Raw genomic sequence first — 23,062 nt, forward strand, 5'->3', positions numbered from 1 at the left:
TTTTGGTCAAGGCCACTGTAGCATTTCCCATTTGGTTCCAAAAATACCCTTTTATGTACATTGCAGCAGTAGAGGCCATGTTACACTCTGATCCCCAGAAAGTTAAAATCCTCTCTGATTTCACAAGGAAATGTGTCTTTTGCAAATAAATCATGTGAGGTTTTAAATTCTAGCTTAGACACATTATATACCTATTATTTGTTTCATTTTAGACAATCATTTAAATAATTAAAATTACTTTTTTCCGATTGAATATATAAGCTTAATTGATTAAACTCTCAATGCCTGCACTAATGGTTATCAAAAAACACACATGGACAAATCTTTACATATTCCTTTTTCGTGCATCATTCTGTAAAAAAAAAATAATGTTTTTACAGGGCTGTGTGGTTGATTGCCATTTGATATCCTGTGTTATACTGCTAAATACCTTCTACAGTCTTATGTGCCCATGTGTCAATATGCCTAAAGAAGGGACTTGCCCTGAGCTGTTTGGTAGCTAATTTGCAAAAATTAATGACTAATCAAGACATTATGATCACTTTAAAGTTCAATAATTGTGAGATTATTCAATGTGGCAATGAAATTCATGATTGAGAAGAAATATTTGAAGTTTTTAAATTTCCCATAATTATGGCACTTAGCATTGGTAAATAAATGATGAAAAATGAAGCTACCAAACTTTAATATGGATTTCCTTTTAATTGAGGCACTTGAACAAATCATTCCAAATGTTTAGCCTTGTCCCATGCAGTACAGATTAGAATGAAATCTACGTGGTGAAGATCCGAGGTTAAATACTAAGAAGGGAGTTCTCAGTCTCTCCAGTACCATTTTTATACAGTATTTCTCTACTCTCTTCCTTCTTCCTAAATATTACCAAAATTAAAGGCCAAAAACTTTTTAATGACATTCTGTTCTGTGAGCAAATGCCTCATCTCTAAGAAAAAGATTAATTTCACACTCTTTTAATATAAACTATCACAGTGCTGCAGGAGGTAATACATTTAAATATGTATGTGCTAATGAGTCTGTGCTTTTCTCATTCACAGAGCATTTAATTTGTGCCAAACAAAGTTCTAAATTCAGGCTACTATTTTTCATCTTAAGATACTACATGCTTTACTCTTCCATTCTGTTAAGTAATGTGTTGTGTTTAAAATTCAGTTATTATTAAAAAAACGATTATTATTGCTGGTACTGCACATTGATACAATACACTTGAGGAAAATTATTTTTTCCTCAGAAGTCTGCAGTGACTTTAAAAAAATTATTTTCGGAAAAAAATGGAGTAGTTAAATTGTGGTAAATTACCATCGTCTCTAGAATGCAGTCCTGGGTTCAAGCAATTCTCCTGCCTCAGCCTCCCAAGTAGCTGGGATTACAGGTGCACGCCACCACATTCATCTAATTTTTTCTTTGTTATTTTTAGAGGAGATGGGTTTTCACCATGTTGGCCAGGCTCATGTCGAACTCCTGAACCTCAGGTGATCTACCTGCCTCAGCCTCCCAAAGTGCTGGGATTACAGATGTGAGCCACCGTGCCTGGCCTAGAATGCAGTCTTTCTTTTTTTTGAGATGGAGTCTTGTGCTGTCACCCAGGCTGGAGTGCAGTGGCACGATCTTGGCTCACTGCAAGCTCTGCCTCCCGGGTTCACGCCATTCTCCTGCCTCAGCCTCCCGAGTAGCTGGGACTACAGGCGCCTGCCACCACGCCCGGCTAATTTTTGTGTTTTTAGTAGAGACTGGGTTTCACTGTTAGCCAGGATGGTCTTGATCTCCTGACCTCATGATCTGCCCGCCTCGGCCTCCCAAAGTGCTGGGATTACAGGTGTGAGCCACCGTGCCTGGCCCCAGTCTTTCAATTTACCATTCTATTGCCCATATTTTTTTCTCTATGGAAATGGAAACTTCTAACTTTGAGACTTGTTTTCCAACTTTTGTGGATTAAGGATGTTTTTTTTTTCTTTCACGTAAGTAGAGCCTAAAATATATTATTTTTTAATGTACTTGTCACCTTTCCAGGAACTGAATTCTTGTTTCTAGAAAGAAAAAGATAGCTTTCCAAGTTTTCTAGCATGATTATCTAAGTTTTCTCTACCTTTTCACTTCCCATGCTGTTTTTTAAGCTGTCTTTTTAAGTTTAGAATTGAAAAACAGGTTTTTCTACATTACCTAGCACATGTAATTTTATATCTCAATGGTCAAAATAATATAAAATTCAACTATTAAGAGCATAATTAATAAGTTATCCTAATTTGCCAGAGTTTTAGATCATATTGTTCCCTAAACTTCCAAAATTGAACTGGTAATAGACAACTCCATCCCCAGGGGCTGTTTTCCCTAACCATTCAGATATATTTAATAACCTGCATAGTCAATCATATATTTTATTTCCCTGTCTCAGTCACCATATCTTTGATTCCCAGTCAGACTTGGTCTCCATTCTTTCTACCCTTCCCACTTTTCTGCTTTACCTACAGAGGCATTATTTAGGATTGGTTCTCACTTTTATTTTTCGATTGCAACCATACATTTGAGCACATCCTGTATGTAATATGTTTGTTAAGGAATGCGGATGTTTTTCAAAATGTATAGAATAGAAATTAGGAAAGCCGTCTGATTAAACTATTCCATAATATGATGGATAACTGGTTATAATCTGCTTCTAATCTTCCCAGTAATATTTTATTCTTTTGGTTGTCAATCTTGATCATTAAAGATTAGAGGCATCATTGCTTAGAACTAAATCTCTAGCATCTGAAGATGTTAACAGACAATTTTTACCTTCCATTTTACCAGGATGGCTTTACTCCTCTAGCTGTGGCACTCCAGCAAGGACACAACCAGGCGGTGGCCATCCTCTTGGAGAATGACACCAAAGGGAAAGTGAGGCTGCCAGCTCTGCATATTGCCGCTAGGAAAGACGACACCAAATCTGCCGCACTTCTGCTTCAGAATGACCACAATGCTGACGTACAATCCAAGGTACTTAAAGCTGAACACATTTGTGGAAAGGAACTCTTTGGCTGCCAGACTCCTCCTGGGGGATGATAAAGAAGTAGGCCATGGTGATAATGCAAAATTATTTCTGGTCATAAAAAGAGATAAATGACTTTCAGAGGTATTTCAGAAAGAAGGGGACCATCTAAAAAAATTAAATGCAAGATAATTTTCTTTAAAAGATGAGGTTGAGCTTTTTAGAAATCTGCTTTCTTATTCTGTTTATAGTCACAAATAATAGAATTTAAAAGATAAAATTGTATTGTGTGGTGCTTGGGGATGTCTTCTTCCAGTAGAATGCATTTTGCCATGTTGGAACAGTATACCCAATTGCAGCGAGCAGATTGACTGTTTCCATAATTTTGCATTGTGTAATATCTTCCCTCTTTCTTCCAAACAACACTGCTTCAGATGATGGTGAATAGGACAACTGAGGTACAGTATTGTGGTTATACCAAAATTTACCTTGTCTTTATTTTTAGTTTTTGCCCAATTGGAATAAATGCTCACTAATTCATACTAATGATTAGAAGTTTGATTAATGGGAAATTAATTTGAAAACCTTCCCCATAATGAAGGCAAACTGATAATTCAAAGATATTTAGTGTAACATATATTTGAAGCATTATTTTTATCAGTAAAACTATTTAAATAAGTTATTAGAGAATGAAATGAAACTCTTTCTTAACATATATTTTAATGAGTGAGATTTACTATTAACTTATTGTCAAGAAGAGATATGATTTTATTTCCTTAATGAGAATTCTTAGGTTAGAGTTTTAAGGAAGTGAAAATTTGGGAGGTTTCTCTGCCACTGAGTTTTGTCTTTTTATCTAATTGCTGTTGCCCTTTTTTTTTCTGTATGCTCTTTTTCTTTACCACATTTATATAATAAATGATGTTATTGAGCATATCAAGAGCAGACCAATTGCTTTTTCTTGTAAGTCTTAAAATACTTGTCATGGAATTGTATATTTTCCACATTCCAAAGTAAGTCACATCAATCAATAAGAACATTAAGTTCAGAAGCCTCTCAGTATGGTGTGTTTGTATATGTATGTATTTAGTAGTCTCTCCTTGGCCATTGCTACAGAGAGAGACACTAACACGAACATTGTTGATGTATATTATACAAACTAACCTATACTCAAAAACAAGTGACTTTTTATGTAGGTCCATTATTGTTTTGCTGAGGGGATTCTTTAGACTATCATCTCGCTTGATGACTAGGTTGTGGACTTTTGAGCATTCTCACAGGGTATACTTGAATTATTTGTGTTATTTCTTTTGTTCCCTATCGTTGCATGGAACCTAGGTCAGAGACAACGGAAAGCCCAACTGCTTGGTGAACTTGTTCACAACTGGAACCGTACAAATTGATATCTTAATAACTAATTTCAATACCTTTAATTTCTTAGATGCTTTTTGGTGATTATTTAAGATACATTTTTGAAAGCAGTATTGGCTCTAAACATTGTGAAAGCAGAAGTTTGGGTGGATTTTTACTGAGTTATAAATATTTGCTTGAAGACAATAGAGTAAAAAGAAGAGAAACCCCTTCGTCTAATCCTGTAGAAATGTGAACTCTGCCTCCTACTTCCATGTTAATCAGGGAAGCGTTCCTCTGAAGGGCTGATACCAGTTTTGTGCTGATCCAAGATTGACAGCTTGGTTATCATTATGAATGATCAGTGAGGCTGTATCAGACAATAAGTTTATTTTTGCAAATGATATTACTATATTTAAATACTTTGAAAATGATCCACCCACCCTCAATATGTTTTTCTGAAACTAAATTGTAACATCAGTAATAGACACACACTCAGGGTATGTCTGTGTGACAGGAAATATCAAGATAAACATGAAATAAATTTAGTCAATTATTTCCTAAAATATGAAAATTTGACATTTTATAAAATAACAGCCAGGTTGAGGGCTGATTTTCCCCTCCATTTTGACATGAATATTGGCATTATGTAAATGCAAAATAAAAATATCTTGATCATAGATAGGGGATTTGGATTAATAGTAACTGTTCTTATTTTGTGTCTTGCTTCTCTCTAAGTAAGAAATTATTTGTATCTAATGTTGCTACAGTAAGAGCACAAATTTTCATTACCTAAGGTATCTGAGTGCTTATTTAGGGTGTTTTTAAAACAAAGCCACCAAAGCCTATAGATCAACTCAATAGAAAAAAAGTTGTAATTTTGAAAATATTTCTTAAAAACAATACAGTAAACATCGTAGTTCATTTCAAGTAAAAGAGAGCAATACCAAGTAACCCAAAAACTGCAGGATGTGATAGCCAAATAACAGTTTCTATTTTTCCCATAATCTTTTGTTAAGTAGTGAAAATTCTGGAGAGTAAGAAAAATTATTAGATCTTTGTGTACTTTAATAAGAAAAGAGTTAACATGCTTCTATTGCAAAGATGGCAACAATTTTCAACTAGATTTTCATCAGAAAAAGAAAGAAAAGGAAATATATTTTTTTCATTTGATAATTTCAGACTTATTTTTTAAACATTTTGAGAGTAAACAGTTCTGTAATGCCCATATAGTTGATTTAACCTGGTTGGTTAAATTACACTTTATTGTATTGATAAAATTTGTTTAACATTCAAAATTGGAGTGAGCTGAACTTTTTTCTTCCTTTTATATTCCTATTGATGCCACGTATATTGTTTAATTTTTGTTTTTTAATTATTTCATCATGACAACAACATAATCGTGCTACACAGTTGTAAAAGGGTATAGGAATATCATGACAGTGTAAATGATGTGGAACAAATTCTATATCTTTGTAAGAATTTTTCAACATATTTTCATGCTTCCAAAAGTATAATGTCAACAAATACTGCTTTTTTAAAACAAAAATAAAACAAAAACACTGGTTTCTTTGAATCTTCTCTGAAAAGACATTAAAAAATTCATTGATATGTTAATCCTATGGCTGAAACCTGATGTTGTTTAAACATATTCTGGTTTTCTTCAATATGCAAAACCAACTTAAGAAACATTGTTTTGTATAAACAACAAATCTCATAAATAGATAAATATTTAAGATAATTAAAAATATGCCATGAATATTATGCCAATAAATGTAGAATATTTATTTACTTTTTATATGTTTAGTTATGTACCACCTTATAACATTAAGATTTAAGATCTTACTAAAGCATTTATTATTGCTTATATATTAGGTAGACTTTTACCATGTGACCTTCTTCACTAATACAATGGCTGCAACATAGAAAAGTGAAGCGCTATACTGACTGTCATATCTTTGCTTTCATAGAGTGGTTTTACCCCTTTGCACATAGCTGCACATTACGGAAATGTCAACGTGGCAACTCTTCTTCTAAACCGGGGAGCTGCTGTGGACTTCACAGCCAGGGTATGGATTGAAATAGTTTCTCATTCTAGATAGCAGTAAATGAATATTTTAATAAAGTAAAAAGGAACACCAATGGCTTTCTTAAAGATTTTACTTCTTTTTCCTTACCTGGGTCTGTGCTGGAGATACTAGATTTTTCATTTCCTTTCTTTAAATCACAAGAAGTCATCTTGGCTTAAGCAGAAAATAAGAATGTTGTAAACTCATGCAAAAATTATTTCCAATAGTTAAGGATGACATTCATTCTGACCAGTATGAACAGTTATATTTAACGATCATGCCATGAATCCTGATAAGTCACGTCAAAAAATTATTAAACTGTTAAAATGTTAACTATAAAATATATAAGTAGCATGTCTTATGATGACTGTAGGGCACACAATTTGATAGGGAATTGTTTTTAATGAATTGAGAATTTGTTCACATGAAGTCTTACTAAAATACATAAAAGGTGTCACATTGTTACATGTTTCATGGTATGCTGTTATTAGAAAGAATTCACTTACATGATAATGGTATATATCAGTATACTTAATATACAGTTAATGCAGAATATGAATATACAAAAATTACAACAGACAAAAAATCAGGTACATATCCTTGCCATAATGATGATATGTGATAGCCAATAAAATAAATAAATATAATTTGTATGTATAATGTTTTTGTACTAAGAAGTCATCTGCACTGAAACTATGTTGTGTTATTTTCAAGCTGTTTTTCTTACTGAATTATTCTGAAGGAGACGTTTGTTTGTTGTTGTTGCTGTTTAGAGACAGGGTCTGGCTCTGTTGCCCAGGGTGGAGTGCAGGGGCATGATCATGGCTCACCGAAGCCCTGAACTCATGGGCTCAAGCAATCCTCCTGGCTCAGCCTCCTGAGTAGCTAGGACTACAGGAACACACTACCATGCCTGGCTAATTTTTTAAAATTTTTTGTAGCGATGAGGTCTTACTATATTGCCCAGGCTGGTCTTGAATTCCTGGCTTCAAGCAATCCTCCCACCTCAACTTCCCAAAGTGCTGGAATTACAGACATGAGCCACCATGCCCAACTTGAAGGAGATGTTTTTAAGAATCATTTTTATATTGGATATTAATACCCAAATATTTGTATTCTGTTTTTAAGAATCATAAAACTTAAGATGCCAGACTCTTTAAGTGCATGGATGTTATAGAAAGAAAGACTTTACACTAGGGCCCTATCTTAGGTAGATTTAAAATTTTTGTTTCTATTACAGTAAAGTGGTCCCTTTGTCTCTTGACTATAACTTGTACATTCAATACATATTTTGTAGTTATTGACTAACTTAGTTATGCAGTTTCATTCCATTTTTCATTCTCTAACTATATTGTTTTGTGGTTTGTGTGATTTTTGTTCCTTAAAAATCAAAGACATAGAAAGAGTAGAAACTGTGGATCAAATTACCACGTAGGTCACAACTTCCTTTGTGGCCTTTAACACAAAGGCATCGCCATCATGCCCTGTCATACCCAACAGCTCTTGTTTGGTCTTTCTGTGGTGTAGAATGGAATCACTCCTCTGCATGTGGCTTCCAAAAGAGGAAATACAAACATGGTGAAGCTCTTACTGGATCGAGGCGGTCAGATCGATGCCAAAACTAGGGTGAGTGTCTCTGTTCTTTCAATTTTCTACCATTATTATTTCTTTCAAGCCTCATAGAAGGCACCTCAAGACACCAGGTCATTAACATAAGCAATGTGTTTTCAAGGAAATTGCTTTATTGGAATTGATTTAAATCTCATACAACATTTAAAGGGTTCATACCGTACAGTGAAATTAATATTTGCTCATAAGTGCCCAGAGAAGCAAAATGTTGGTCCCTCAATGAGATAGTTTTTCAAGTTTTGGCTTAGTGATTTTCTGGGACCAAAGATCAAAGATTAGGCTTACACAACTCTCTTTTGGGTAGTTATAAGTATCAAGAACCCAAACTAATTACCATACATTAAGATTGAGAATGTGGCTTTTACACAAAATATTTTAGTACATGTTTACAATCTTTTGCTTCTAAGTATTCAATTCCTAATTCATTTTTCTTAAGCAGCTATGCTATACTGACCTGAGCAGGGGATTTGCTATTATGGAGAAAAGCATACAGTTAGTATACTATACCTTTATGTCATTTTGGTAGAAGTGATAGCTTTCATTTGTTTCAAACTTAAGTAAAATGTCATTTCAAGTTTGCAGTACACCCCAAATAGATAACACAATAGACAGTAGAGTTCAGTTGTTAAAAGTGCAGAATAAAGGCAAACTGCCTGATTTCAAATCCTATTTTTACTATTAATAAGTTGTATTATATTGGCAGTTTACTTACCTTCTCTGAACTTAGGCTAATAATAACACACCTACTTCATAAAGTTGTGTGAGAATTAACTCTTAGGTATATTATTTACCATTTTTGAAAAAGCAGAGTAAATTACCTAGCTCTTCATAATATTTGATAATATTACTGACGTTATATAATATGTAGTTATTTGCTGAAACATGTAAGGATTATTTCAGTATTAATTATCTGGAGTAGATTTGGTTAATCATAGACTTCAGCAAAACTTCAAATGTGCCTATAATACAAAAATGTTAATATGTGGTATAAAAGTCTATGTTAATATGTGGTGTAAAAAGCCTATGAAAGATGATAAATAGAATATGTCTCTTATGGTATTTTACTTCACTTTGTTTAATTCTGAGACTTCATGTTTTCATAGTCCCAGCAGTAAAGATCAAATCTAGTTTCCTTGCAAATCTGGGGGCTAGCAAACACTTTTGTTTAATAAACTTTATCATCTGTAAGCTTCCAGAATCTATACCAGTCCCAGACTATAAATTATGGTTTTTAATGACCTCAGGAAACCTTGCTTTCTTAATCTCACTTCTCTAAAACTTTTGGTCCAGAGTGGCTACATCACAACACGTGGGAGTTCTGGAGAGGTTTGCGTTCTGTCAAATCTTTGCTGTGGTGTCCAGTGTCTTTGCATCAGAGTTTTATATGGTTTCTACTTTTTGCTTAGTAGGCATGCCTTTTTCCTTACCATACTGTGAGTATACAGAATTTGGAACAGTATGCGTTATGTTGCATGGTTTGCTTACTTATTCTTTCTATTTAAAGGAATGAGTTTTGCACATTACTACATTACTAACATCATTACTAACATTACCAATGTATTACATTACAAACATACTTTACTAACATAATTTCTTCCTATATACTGCCTTTATGAGATTACCACTGGAAAGAAAGCATTTTGGAAATGCAAAAAAATTTTTATCTTGGCCAATGTCTTAAGGATGCACATTGCTTTTATTAATGCTTTTTGGAGTATTAACTCATTATTAAGATAGTTGACTTTGTTCTTATTAATCAACAGTATTTACTTAATAAAAGTACTCTAATTTGTGTGGCTTACATATATTTGGGTATACAATTAAAAAGTCTAACTCCAAATAGACAGTGTATCTTCATAAAAAGAGTACTAAGAAATGAAGAGAAATGGATTCTTATACTAGTTCTGTCATAGTGCAGCCTTTAGATACAGCAAATAAATTAAATTTCATTCAAGGATTTAAAAAGAATAAAATAGGTTTTCTAACTGTATACATTGTATAAACATTCCATTCATTTATTCCTTAAACAAATAACTATTGAGTTCCTACTTGGTGCTGTGAACCCTGAAGATACGACAGTTAACAAGACAGAGTAGGTTTCTAGACTCATAGAGATGCAAGTCAGTAGTTCAAGGAATTAAGTTAACAGTCTTCTTGTAAAAGTTTAATAATAGGTTCTTAAAAAACAAAAAAACAAAAAACAAACAAAACCCTTGATTTGTAGCATTACCTTTGCTGGTTTCCATGGTGTAAATACTTCTACAGTGGTCAGTTTAGAGCTAGCAACTTGGTATCACTAAATGTAGAATTGGGAAGAGGTGTGCAAAAAGTGGCTCTCCTTATTTCATATGAGCTGGTTCCAGCACACCCCAGGATTAGCTACAATATTGAATGGTTGCACTGAACATTTTTATTTTTATTATACTTTAAGTTCTGGGGTGCATATGCAGAACATACAGGTTTGTTACACAGGTATTCACGTGCCATGGTGGTTTGCTGCACCCATCAACCTGTCATCTACAATAGGTATTTCTCCTAATGCTATCCCTCTCCTACACCCGTCCCCCAACAGGCCCCAGTGTGCGATGTTCCCCTCCCTGTGTCCATGTGTTCTCATTGTTCAACTCCCACCTATGATCGAGACCATGTGGGGTTTGATTTTCTGTTCTTGTGTTAGTTTGCTGAGAATGATGGTTTCCAGCTTCATCCATGTCCCTGCAAAGGACATGAACTCATCCTTTTTTATGGCTGCATAGTATTCCATGGTGTATACGTGCCACATTTTCTTTATCCAGTCTATCATTGATGGGCATTTGGCTTGGTTCTAAGTTTTTGCTATGTGAATAGGGTTGCATTGATCTTTTTTAGCACTAAACTTTCCCCCCATAAGTTGAAATACTTCTTCATCTGTAAGTAGAAGGATTTTAAAAGCATTGTTGGGTTCTTTTCATTCTGGCTACAGCTAACAGACCTATATCCCTCTTACTAAAGACAAAATCAAGTAGGAGGTAAATACTGAAATCAAGGACTGTGGGCTGGAATTGGGAGGCCAATTCTGGAACTATAATATTTGATTACTAAAATAAATGAATATGTTTTGCTTTTTCTTTTGCTTTTGAAATGTATTCAAAAATAGAAAAATGTTTATATTAATTAGTTCTCATGCTGCTATGAAGAACTGCCCGAGATTGGGTAATTTATAAAGGAAAGAAGTTTAATTGACTCACAGTTCTGCAGGGCTGGGGAGGCATCAGGAAACTTACAATCATGGCAGAAGCAGAAACAAACACATCCTTCTTCAAATGGTGGCAGGAGAGAGAAATAAGTGCCCAGTGAAGGGGGCAGCCCCTTATAAAACCATCAGATCTCATGAGAACTAACTCACTGTCACAAAAATAGCATGAGGGTAACCACCCCGTTATTCAATTACCTCCCACTGGGTCCCTCCCATGACACATAGGGATTACGGGAAATAGAATTCAAGATGAGATTTAGGTGGTGACGCCTAAATCAAAACATTGATAAACTATATCAATGTTTAATTTGGTTTTGACTATATTTTTAGAGAATATAATAAAGCTTCTACATATGAAAATTTTTTTTTTTTTGAGACGGAGTTTTCACTCTTGTCACCCAGGCTGGAGTACAATAGTGCGATCTCGGCTCACCGCAACCCCCACCTCACTGGTTCAAGCAATTCTCCTACCTCAGCCTCCCAAGTAGCTGGAATTACAGGCATGTGCCTGGTTAATTTTGTATTTTTAATAGAGACAGGGTTTCTCCATGTTGGTCAGGCTGGTCTCAAACTCCTGACCTCAGGTGATCTGCCCGCCTTGGCCTCCCAAAGTGCTGGGATTACAGGCGTGAGCCACCACACCCGGCCGGAATGTTTTTAAAGTATTATGTTTTCATTTTGTTGTTGTTGTTGTTGTTGACATCTCAATTTCCCCCAGCATTTAAATTAACCACAAATATTCTGAATTTAGTATATTCTGTCAAGGATCTTGCCTTGATCTTCTCATTATTTTTTCTCATTCATAAGGTTTTTATTATCTAGAGAATAGCAAGATCTAGAGAGGCTTTCAGATAATTAAGAAACAAATATTACCCACAGTTATTTCTTGGCTCTCATCACCATTTTGGCAATCATTGAGGCATTTTCCATCTTGTTGGCATTCTCATCATTGACTACTATCTAATGTGAAACTCTAAGACATTTGCACCAGAGCCTTTTACTGGTATCTGAAAGACCTCATTTCAATGTGAAAACGTAAATTTTATAGCTAGTGAAAATGAAATTATAAATTTAGGCTTTATTAAGGGCATTATTCTTTTTTTGTTTTTAAGCTTATTTATTATTTAAATGTGGTGATACCGCATATTAGGATTATGTTTAAAATATTAAAAAACATATTTCAAAGCAAACAATAAAAAGTGTACAAAAACATTAAAGGATGATGAACAAAAAACACACAGGGAAAAGGAATCACCCTTCTTACTTGTTATTAGGTATAATAATTAAAGCAGTAACAATAATGGTTTTCAATTGTCATATGCATATGTTGTTCTAGGCACCCTGCTAAGTACTCTACAAATATCATCTTATTTTATCTTCCTAACAACTTATGAAGTGTGTATTATTTTCTTGTTGAGAATATATGGAGGTCTTCATTTGAGAAATGAGACTACCAAAGGGAGAAATTAGTTTCAGCAGAATTATGTAACTTGACCTAGGACACAGAACTTTGTAATCAGCAGAGCCTACCCATGTATTCACACAAACTTCAGAATACATTGTTGAAAGAATGACCTAAGCAGAGAGGGGGGAAGATATGAAAAGATAAAGAAACTACATAAGTGGCATCCCTCCAATGTTGATTGATCTACCTTTATGAAAATTATCCACATCATGGTGTATAGTACATCCGTGTGATGAACTGATTCTAGAGAAAAAAAAAAAAACAACAACAGAGAAAACACAAGGGGTCTCTGGAAGGGGGAAAAACCCATAACCTGCAACTACAAACTTAAGAATTTAAGTAAAAAGATTTTAGAATACAAAAGCTTGAAAAGAATTTTTTTGGGGCATTAACTTTATAATGTGCTTTGCAGAAAATATTCAAAATCTAATCAAATTGAGCCTGTTGGGTAACTTGAATTTGATGTCATCATTCACACATCTTATAAGCACAGACACCTTGCATCATTAAATGTAGGATTTAGAACTAATTTAATCCTTATTGTTCCTTGATGTTCTTGTGGGTATATTAAATGTTCTCCATAAAGCTCCTGTTGTTACTCTGAGAGTATTTTGGATGTTTCAACATGATTACACAAAGACTATTTCATGCAATTTGCAGAAAGCAATACTCTGCCTTTTCTAAAAAACATGTAAGGTGCCATTCCCTCCTTCATCTTTCAAACAAGGCTTGCAAGTTAAATAGGGTGAGAAACATCATCTCCACTCTATGTATCACGAAGCTCAGCCTTAGAGAGATTCATCCATGGTGACCGATTTGAGATTCACTGCAGGGTTCCATGGTTCCGAAGTCCACACACTGAACTGTTACATATGATGTCTCTGTTCACCATGTGGGATTTCTCAAACCCTAGGTCTCCACAAAGCCCTCACCAAGAATACGTTTGAGAAACCATGCTATATCTAATTGTTAGGTAAGTTATGTAGCAACTAATGCTCTGTAGTTCCACCACAGGGTGCTTTTATCAGGATACAAAAGTGTAATCATTGTCATCACTTTGCTGGAACAACTCTTTAAGGCTCCTATCTGGCAAATTTTAAAATAATGTAGCATTTCAACTACACTAGCTAAATACTTTTTTTCTGAGAAGGCAATCTTTTCATGCTAATTCTTAGGTACCCAAAACTGCAAAATCTGTTTTGGTTATTCAATATCTTCGTACTAGCTAAATGGATTTCACAAAGCAAAGAATCATTATCAGTCAAGGTCCTAGCCAAAAACAGAGGCCCAAATTTGATCATTTGATTAGAGATTATTGAAGGGTCTATTTATAATATTGTGTAGTCTGTAGGAAAGAGACAAGGGACAAGGGACAGTGTAGAATCCCAGGGGCTAGTAACAGCGGGACTCAATACCAGTGCTCAACCTAAAAAGTGAGAAGTACAGGAGACCCCCAGAACTTCAAAGGAGAGAATTGTGTGGAAAGGCTGCTTTGGCAGGAAGGTAAACTTTCGTAAAGACACACAGCCGGATTTGGGAGGTCTCTCGAAGTCCTTTTCATGTCTTGCTGCATTGGCCAAACCCAGCTGGAAGCCAGAGGACAAGGCAGCTCACTGATGCCCCCTACAGTGGCCAGTCTGTTGGGACACAGAGCAGGGAGGAGAAGGGTAGAGCATGGGTCTGGAGGGGCAAACAGAAGACATCTAGCATAGAAATCTCCGTGTTGAGTCAGAGTGTTGCGATTCAGAGGAATTATTTTTATTTGGAGTAAAGCATAACCTGGAGAGATGGTCCTGGAAGTAGAGACACAAACGAGAGGCCATTTGAGTTCTGGATAAATCAGAAACTGCTGAAATCTTCTTAATTGCTCACCATCCATTCTCTGTGATTTATCCACCTTCTCCACCTCTGTCCTTGGGACAATCTTTTTTTCTTTTTCCTTCCACCTCAAATCACCAGTAAATTTAAGCACTCAGTATTTCATTTTCTCTCTCACTTCTTGCTCACTGTTAATTACATTTCGCCTCACATTTCCCACCCACTCTGCTTTTTGCCCATGCCACCCTAAAGAGAAATAAAATATAAAAGACAGAGGGCACTTGGGGATTGCTCTGGAATCAGAGGCTATCCCAGAAGTGTAAAGATCAGAAAGTTTTATAAGTAATATAGCATACAGTTCTGCCATATTTTATTTGATGGAGTTAGGGTTCTATTTATTAATAATAAAGTTCATCTTTGGGAAGCAATTATGTGATTTCTAAAATGTTGAAATATATGTGTGAAAATCTTTAAAATAGTCTAAAAAATGATGCTTCACTTTTGCAAGCATTAGGAAGCATTTTAGAATTTATGAAAGTGATGACAATTCAAAAGAGAACATATGTGAAAAAATTACGCTAAGAAAAATTTTTAGGTAAAAGTATATTAGAACAAACAATATGAAGACAGTATAACCTAATATAATCCCTGTTTTCGGTTCCAGGGAGTAGAGCTTTAAATTTCAACAAATGCCACATACTGTGCTTTCCCATCTTCTTGAATACGCAGACACATGACCAGAAGCCAATTTCATTCCATTGACCCTCTGTCCACACAGGGGATCTCTCTTGCTTTCTCCCTGTCTCTGTTTTGTTTGTCTTTCCCTTTCTCTTTCTTGTTCTCTGTGAAGATGTACTTCTGACTTGTTTTCTCTTTCACTCATCTTTCTGGTTATTTAACAAATTGCAGTTCTATTACTTATTTATTGAGTAATCAGGATTGAGTTTAGGAACTCCCTCTTTATGGTTGCAATAGATGAAATATAGATTTTTTTGAAGTGAACTTGGGCCTAATTCTTTAATTCTTTTGGCAGGATGGGTTGACACCACTTCACTGTGCTGCACGAAGTGGGCATGACCAAGTGGTGGAACTTCTGTTGGAACGGGGTGCCCCCTTGCTGGCAAGGACTAAGGTGAGTCATTATGAGTAAGATGGGGTCCTAAGAAATCTTTAAGTTACTTGATGTATTATCTCTATTCTTTTTTAAATTGAAACATCAGGCAAGCATTTTCTAGTTCTTTAATAATTGTGTGCTAGGAATAGGAATATGTATCAAACCACTTAAAATTATTAAAATAAACAGATATATGAATTAAGATGTATTAAATGTGTGCCTTCAAGTTTTTGTCTATATTTTTACCTGTTATTCTTACTGCAGATGGAAATCTGAATACATCTGTATTTTAAATATAAATGAGAATATCTCTTAGATGCTGAGTCTAGATTTTTATGATTCTCTCAGATGACTATGAAACATATATAAAATTATCTTTTAAAGCAGAACAATTAGCAACACAAAATGAATCTTTTTGCTCATCCAATCTTTATCTCTTAGGCAATACTAATAAAAAGTAATTACTCAACAGTGGCATTGGTTGATTATGTTGAAGATTAGTAGAGGTGATTTGGAAAGTACAAGTTGCAATAGGCCACCTACAAAGAACTATTAAGCAAGCATATTTTCTTTATGACATACTACATCTAGCCCTTTTTCCTCCCGTTTTATCAATATGCTCAAATATGGGAGAAGCACTTTTCCATATACATGAGCACCACACTGTGAGTTGGTTTGCTGAAGATTTTTCATTATCAAATGTATTTTAAATGCTTTTATTATTGTATAGTTCTCTATTATCCAACCCTACATTGGGTTATCAGAAAATATTTTGAGACACGAATTGGAGATACTCATACAGAGCTGATTAATGTGATATGCAGCAACCTTGGATCCTTAAATACAACACAAAGTTAGACAAAGGGCAGTTGTTGTATTTTCTCCCTATTCCATTCCACCTCATACCACCGCCCCCCCCCCCGACAGAGTTGGTATCAACTAATGCTATTACTAGGGTAAGCTGAAGAAACTAAGGCAATTGACACAAACAAATATTTTTCAATTTATATATAATTGAAATCATTTGAAACAAAACTAGCCCATATGTTTAAGATATGTGTAGAATGAACTCAATTTGTAAAGGTGTGCCCACATGCCATAAAAGAGTGGCTTCAAATCAGTAATATATGAAGAAGAGAAATAATTATCCGCGTTACTTTTATTCTCATACCTATACTGTGAATGTTGTATAGATCTGTCTTTAAAATGCAACAATTTGGGCTGGGTAATGCAGAGATAATTATGTAAAGTTTTGATAAAGAAACGTTGAAATTTAAATGGAAATAACAAAATTTCAGACCAATCATGTTACAGCCAATACAAAAACCAATATGAAGTTGAAAATAGGCAGATATGCTTTACAAACCGTAAAATAATCTTATCTGCAGAGTTTGCTTGTAATTGTCATGTCACTAATGAAGATGGCAGGTTACCTGGATGGAATTTTTTTAATGTCCTTCCTGTAAAATCAAGTATCATTCAAATGTAAGGATCCTGCATAAAGTGTCTCTGAGTGTACAATTATGTTCATGTATTCATGCATCCAACTATTATATAATATTGAGTAGATACAATTTGCCAGGCAAGTGTTCTAGTCACTAAGGCACCATCAAGATGAATAATACAAAATCTTTTTTTTTTTTTTTTTTTTTTTTTGAGATGCAGTCTCGCTCTGTCGCCCAGGCTGGAGTGCAGTGGCACGATCTCGGCTCACTGCAAGCTCTGCCTCCTGGGTTCACACCATTCTCTTGCCTCAGCCTCCCGAGTAGCTGGAACTACAGGCGCCCACCACCACGCCCAGCTAATTTTTTGTATTTTTAGGAGAGACGGGGTTTCACCGTGTTAGCCAGGATGGTCTTGATCTCCTGACCTTGTGATCTGCCCATCTCGGCCTCCCAAAGTGCTGGGATTACAAGCATGAGCCACCACGCCTGGCCATAATACACAATCTATAGCTGCAAGAAGCTCAGAAATTAGTGGGCATGATAGAAAAAAAAAGATAATTATAAAAAATAGAGATATGTATAGGGTAATAAACACAGAGAAGATGAATTAATCAGGTTAGAGTGAGGGGATACCGCTCTCCTGGGAGTGGAATAGGTACCTAATGCTAGACTATTCTCCCTCCCCTTCTGTATTAGTCCGTTTCACGCTACTGATAAAGACATACTTGAGATGAGACTGGGCAATTTACAAAGAAGTTTAATGGATTCACAGTTCCACCTGAGGAGGAACTCACAGTCACGAGGCTGAGGAGGCTTCACAATCATGGCAGAAGGTGAAAGGCACGTCTCACATGGTGGCAGACAAGAGAAGAAAATGAAAACCCAGTGAAAGGGCTTTCCCCTTATAAAACCATCAGATCTTGTGAGACTTATTCACTACCACGAGAATAGTTTGGGGGAATCCGCCCTCCTGATTCAGTTATCTCCCACTGGGTCCCTCTCGCAACACAAGGGAATTATGGGAGCTGCAATTCAAGATGAGATTTGGGTGGGGACACAGCCAAACCATATTACCTTCCATAAAAACTCCTAGGTTTAAATCACCCATTCTTTCTTCTGAAGCAACTATCTAAGTGTCACCCCCTCATTCTTTGTCAATTCTAGCTCTCAGCAAACTGTGACTCCTCACCACAACCCCTTCTTATTCTTGCTGACTTTAATGATCTTGATTAGAGCAGTAGATAATTCTTCTAGTTGGCCTCTCAGTTAGGTAACTCTAAACCCTCTATCTATTTCTGTGTCTAACTTCACACTTGCCAGCCCCTCCTATGTTTCAGCTCACTCTCTTCAGAACCCCAATTCCGAAATTCTTTTATTCTGCTGGGTCCTTCAGTCATAGTTTCACTCTTCCTCATTCACATCATGCCCTTACCTCTGCCCAGCACAAATTTCATAGTCATTTATGCTACTCCCTTACGTATTCATACTACCTGCATTTCACTCAATTAAATTCAACTCACATTCATGCAATCAAATGTGGCTACAGGAAACACCCAGCCACACTAACTGTGCTCATTTTAGATTCATGATCACTAACCTCAAGTCAGCTGGTAATGCTGCCTGACAATCTCGCTCTATCTTCTAAGTCTATTCACTCTCGATCCCTGCTATCTGACCATTCTATATTTTCTTCAAACTTATGTAGACTTCTTTCCTTGTCTTCATTTCCCATAACACTGAGAGAATTCAAGCAATTGGAAGATAATTTCCAGAGACTCCCACCTCCATATCTATCCATATCTATCCAGTGACATGACTTGGAGCCCATGTAGTCTACATTCTCTCCCGTTACTATCATCTGGTGTGATTGCTTGGTCCTGTCTTCTCAAAACACTTTCTTTATTTACTTTCTGGGACATTACATTCTTCTGACTTTCCTTCTGTTTTCCTAGCTGCCACTTCTCAGTCTCCTTTACTAGTTCCTCCTCATCTCTCAGGTCTCTGAATGTTAGAACCTCCAGAGCTCAGTCTTTGTATCTTTTCTCTATCGGCACTCACTTACTATGAAATCTCATGCAGTTCTATCTTTAAGTAGTACCTGTATGCTGGTGCCACGAGTGTACATCTCCAGAATTCCGTATGTAGATGTCAGCTCCCCATTGCCACTTGGATGTCTCCTGGGCATCTCAAATTTAGTAAGCTCAAAATTAAGCACTGGATATAACACCCACCCCTCAACCTAATCTTCCTGTTATCCTTCTTATCTCAACAAATGGCCATCTAATTTTTTTTAGTTTCTCAGGCCAAATACCCATGTCATGTTGGACTCTTCTTTTTCTCACTTTCCACATTCTGTCACCAAACACTGTCACCTCTTCCTTCAAAATGTGTCACTAATTCAGCAGCTTGCCAACAATCTCATTACTACCACTCTGGTCCAGATCACCATCAACCCTACCTGGAGGACTGCAAGAGGCCCCTAATTGACTTCCCTTCTTTTGCATTCTGTCCATATGGTCTATTCTCAGCACAGCAGCAAGAGTAATCCTGTTGCCCTAAACCTTCCAACAGCACCCCATGTCTCTCTGAGTAAAAGTCAAACCTGCAAGGTCTCTCACCTCTTTGAATTCCTCCCCTTATCCATCCTCCTCAATCACTTGCCTTAAACCACATTCTTCTCCTTACGATTATTGATATCGATCATGCCCGTTATAATCCCAACACAATATATTTGCACTTGCCTTTTCTAAGCCTCAGGTGTTTTTCCCCCAAGTCAACAAGACTAGCTCTCTTACTTCCTTCACGTCAAAACTCATCTTCTCAGTGAGGCCATTTCTGGACATCCTATCAAAATTGCACTCACGTACACAAACTCCCTAGGCCATTCGGTGTTTTTGTTTTCTCCTTTCCATTGATGGCCATCCAATATACTATATACTTTAATTCTTATTGTTTTTAAATTGTATGTCTGTCTTCCACACTAGAATGTAACCTCGATAGAGACGGGGGTTTCCTGTCTGTTGTGTTCCCTGCTGTATCCACAGTACTTGAACAGGGCTTGAGTAGGTGCTAAGTAAATATGCGTAAAATCAACAAAAGATTAGATGATGAATATTTTATTTTCCACGTAAATAACCTTCAAATAGGTAAAACAGCATCAATGAATGTTAATTTTTCAAAGAAACATGCAACACTCCAGTCCAAACGTCATCAAGCCTTGAATTTCTTCTACACTTTGCAATTATCTTCCCCTCAATGCATAAATACTTCTCATCAGCCTGTTGCTGTTTTCTAAACTTATTTAATGAACTTCTAAACATGAAAGTAATAATTATGAATGAAGATTATTTCAAAATATATGAATAATTTATAAGTCACATATACTCTACCACAATTAAGAATTAATGTATTTGTTTTTGTTGTCCCTCACTGTTGAAATCACCTTCCTTGTTGAGAATATTGGGCGGGGGGCCTTTTCTGGTAAAATATCCAGATACAATTTCTGCTTTGTTGAATGTAATGACTGTCAAACTGGATACTTGGCGAACAATCCTTTTTCTAGTGGCCATATTTGCATTGGTATTAATAAAAGACAATAGTCCCATCTCTTTAATAGGCAAATTGTTTTTTAAAATTTAGTTTTTTCCTAAGTTTACATATTGTTTCCTGAAAGTTTATTTATTTAGCTTTAAAAAAAATGAGAGTCTTACCGAGTCTGATGAACAGTGCATTACCCTGCTTTCTTGTGTTCCTGCTGTTGACCTTACTCTAGAATTAAGGCTAAAGCTGTTTTGGTCCATATTAATGAAGACAAATTTAGATTATCCTCAACTGTAAAAGTTGTGAGGTCATTGGCACATGGCCTACATTTGCCTCACACTCTTCTAGCCCTTACCTACCTGTTTTCTCCAAGTCCAATTCAAGTAGTCTCCTAATACTATAGGTAAAAGGAATTGTAAAATTTCAGAGGAACATGGATCTAAAAGATGGTCAAAGTTTCCATACCTCCCTGACCTGCCCACTTGCTTCTCATTCACCCACTTCCCTCTGTATTTATAAGAAATGCAGGCAGAGAGATTAAGTGAATGCAGACTGCTATGCATGGAGTTGGATACAAATAACTGAAGCATTAGGTATTATTTATTTTTCTGTATTTAATATTGCCCTAATAACTGTAAAATCAGGCTAAATTGCCACACATACCATGCATGACAGACATACTAATTTGCATTTTTGTCTATGGTAGCATAATTATGAAATTAAATTATCTCTTAGTGTTCATCTCTGCGAAATATAGTCTGCTGTATATTCTGATGTCAAATGGAAATTATTTTTTCCCCTGCCACTAACTGTGTTAGAGATCAAGAATCAACTTTGCTGTACTTTGGAACCTGAAAATAATGAAAAAAAAAAAGGACATTATTTTGTTTTCTTTTAATGTGCAGAATGGGCTGTCTCCACTACACATGGCTGCCCAGGGAGACCACGTGGAATGTGTGAAGCACCTGTTACAGCACAAGGCACCTGTTGATGATGTCACCCTAGACTACCTGACAGCCCTCCACGTTGCTGCGCACTGTGGCCACTACCGTGTAACCAAACTCCTTTTAGACAAGAGAGCCAATCCGAACGCCAGAGCCCTGGTAAACTTGGCCCAGTCCACATTAACTGAATACAGATTGAGACAAACAAACCCACATTCATTGACCAACATGCATACACCAGCAATGCAAGGTTACAGATATGTAGTTAATCCTGCTAAATTTGTCATCCTTCACAATCAGCCTGTGTACTTCATACATTCATAGTTTGTTAGCAAATGCTGGTGAGCAAAGATGTATTTAAGAGAACACCAATGTAACATTTCTGAAACTAGTGAGTTGCAAACAGATAGATATGAAACCTTTGGAGTGATAAGCAGTTTTAAATGGAAAATAGAAGTTGAAAAATAGGAAATTACAAAATAAATTCTAGATACCTCTAGATAAAGTTAGAACACGAGTATGAAAAGTTGAATTTATTAATCTCTTTTTGGAAAAAAAATTAATGGTGAATATATTTGACTATGTAAGGGGGTATAAAATGTAAGTCTATGCAGAGTTCAATTGAAAATTTTCATTGTTGACTTGATTACTCAACCATAGGCTAATAGAAAAGTTATGCCTAGTGTGTTACGGCTTCAGGGAGCATTTTATATACACCATTTCAGGAACTGCTCAAGAGAAAACTGCAAGAGGCTGTCCCTAGAGCAGCTTTATGTCTCCCCAGTTCTGATATTGAATAAGTCTTCCTTGCTTCACTTATTTTCTAACAATAATCATTGGAAGTATTAGACATGTACTAATTTATGCCTCTTGTGTCCTAATTCCCAAACTAAAAGTAAATCCTTTTTTTCTATGTGTTTACATGGTTTGTGTCTGTTAAAATTGGTCTTCAAACAATCAGTATTTAAGCTGAGAGACCATCATTAGAATCATCAAATATTAAATATGATTTTTACAAGAATTTTTCCATTGGAATCAATTTATTGATAATTACGTGGGAAGTGAATATATTTTCCAGATTATATGTAATTATGTGAAAACATTCATTTTGTCTAGGGAGTCAAAAACATTAATTTTTAATTGGATAGTGGTCAATAAGCTTATAAAATATCACAGCCTGTTAATTGCAAATATTTTAAGTGCTGCATGTGCATGTGGCTATTTATATCTGGCATGTTGTATAGCTCATAAACAGGGGAAATGACCTAACCAATTAATTATGTTTATCACTCTATTGTGAAAAATAAGAAGTCATCAGCTTAAGTAAGACCATATGCTTTCCTGAGAACTGCTAGTGTGTAAAAACGTTGACTGATGATTGGTCCATGTTGGGACATGCGAAATTGTTAGCTGGCAGAATAGACATAACAAAGGAACATTGTTGAAATAAAAAAAATATATAATACACGATGA

General features: G+C 35.7%; 1 protein-coding gene across 66 annotated transcripts in view, besides 1 other annotated feature; it reads left to right on the forward strand.

Annotated features, from left to right (window-relative positions):
- The window catches only part of ANK2 (ankyrin 2), a 678,115-nt gene that overhangs the window by 528,563 nt on the left and 126,490 nt on the right, over nucleotides 1-23,062 (forward strand). For 42 of the 66 annotated variants that reach the window (NM_001386186.2, NM_001386148.2, NM_001354269.3 and 39 more), the window contains 6 exons: nucleotides 2,803-2,988; nucleotides 3,415-3,438; nucleotides 6,301-6,399; nucleotides 7,927-8,025; nucleotides 15,580-15,678; nucleotides 21,551-21,748. In NM_001386186.2, the coding sequence (NP_001373115.1) occupies nucleotides 2,803-2,988; nucleotides 3,415-3,438; nucleotides 6,301-6,399; nucleotides 7,927-8,025; nucleotides 15,580-15,678; nucleotides 21,551-21,748 (705 nt within the window). The remainder of the gene's footprint in view (nucleotides 1-2,802; nucleotides 2,989-3,414; nucleotides 3,439-6,300; nucleotides 6,400-7,926; nucleotides 8,026-15,579; nucleotides 15,679-21,550; nucleotides 21,749-23,062) is intronic. The other 24 variants (NM_001386187.2, NM_001386147.1, NM_001386160.1 and 21 more) reach the window with 1 other exon arrangement.
- Nucleotides 2,733-2,917: a silencer, noted in NCBI's record as "fragment chr4:114158073-114158257 (GRCh37/hg19 assembly coordinates)". NCBI's record gives its function as "represses an EF-1alpha promoter that drives an FKBP-Casp9 reporter gene in an ReSE screen in K562 erythroleukemia cells {active_cell/tissue: K562}" and the evidence as "EXISTENCE:reporter gene assay evidence [ECO:0000049][PMID:32094911]".

The sequence above is a fragment of the Homo sapiens genome, chromosome 4, assembly GCF_000001405.40.
Source record: "Homo sapiens chromosome 4, GRCh38.p14 Primary Assembly".
NCBI lineage: Eukaryota > Metazoa > Chordata > Mammalia > Primates > Hominidae > Homo > Homo sapiens.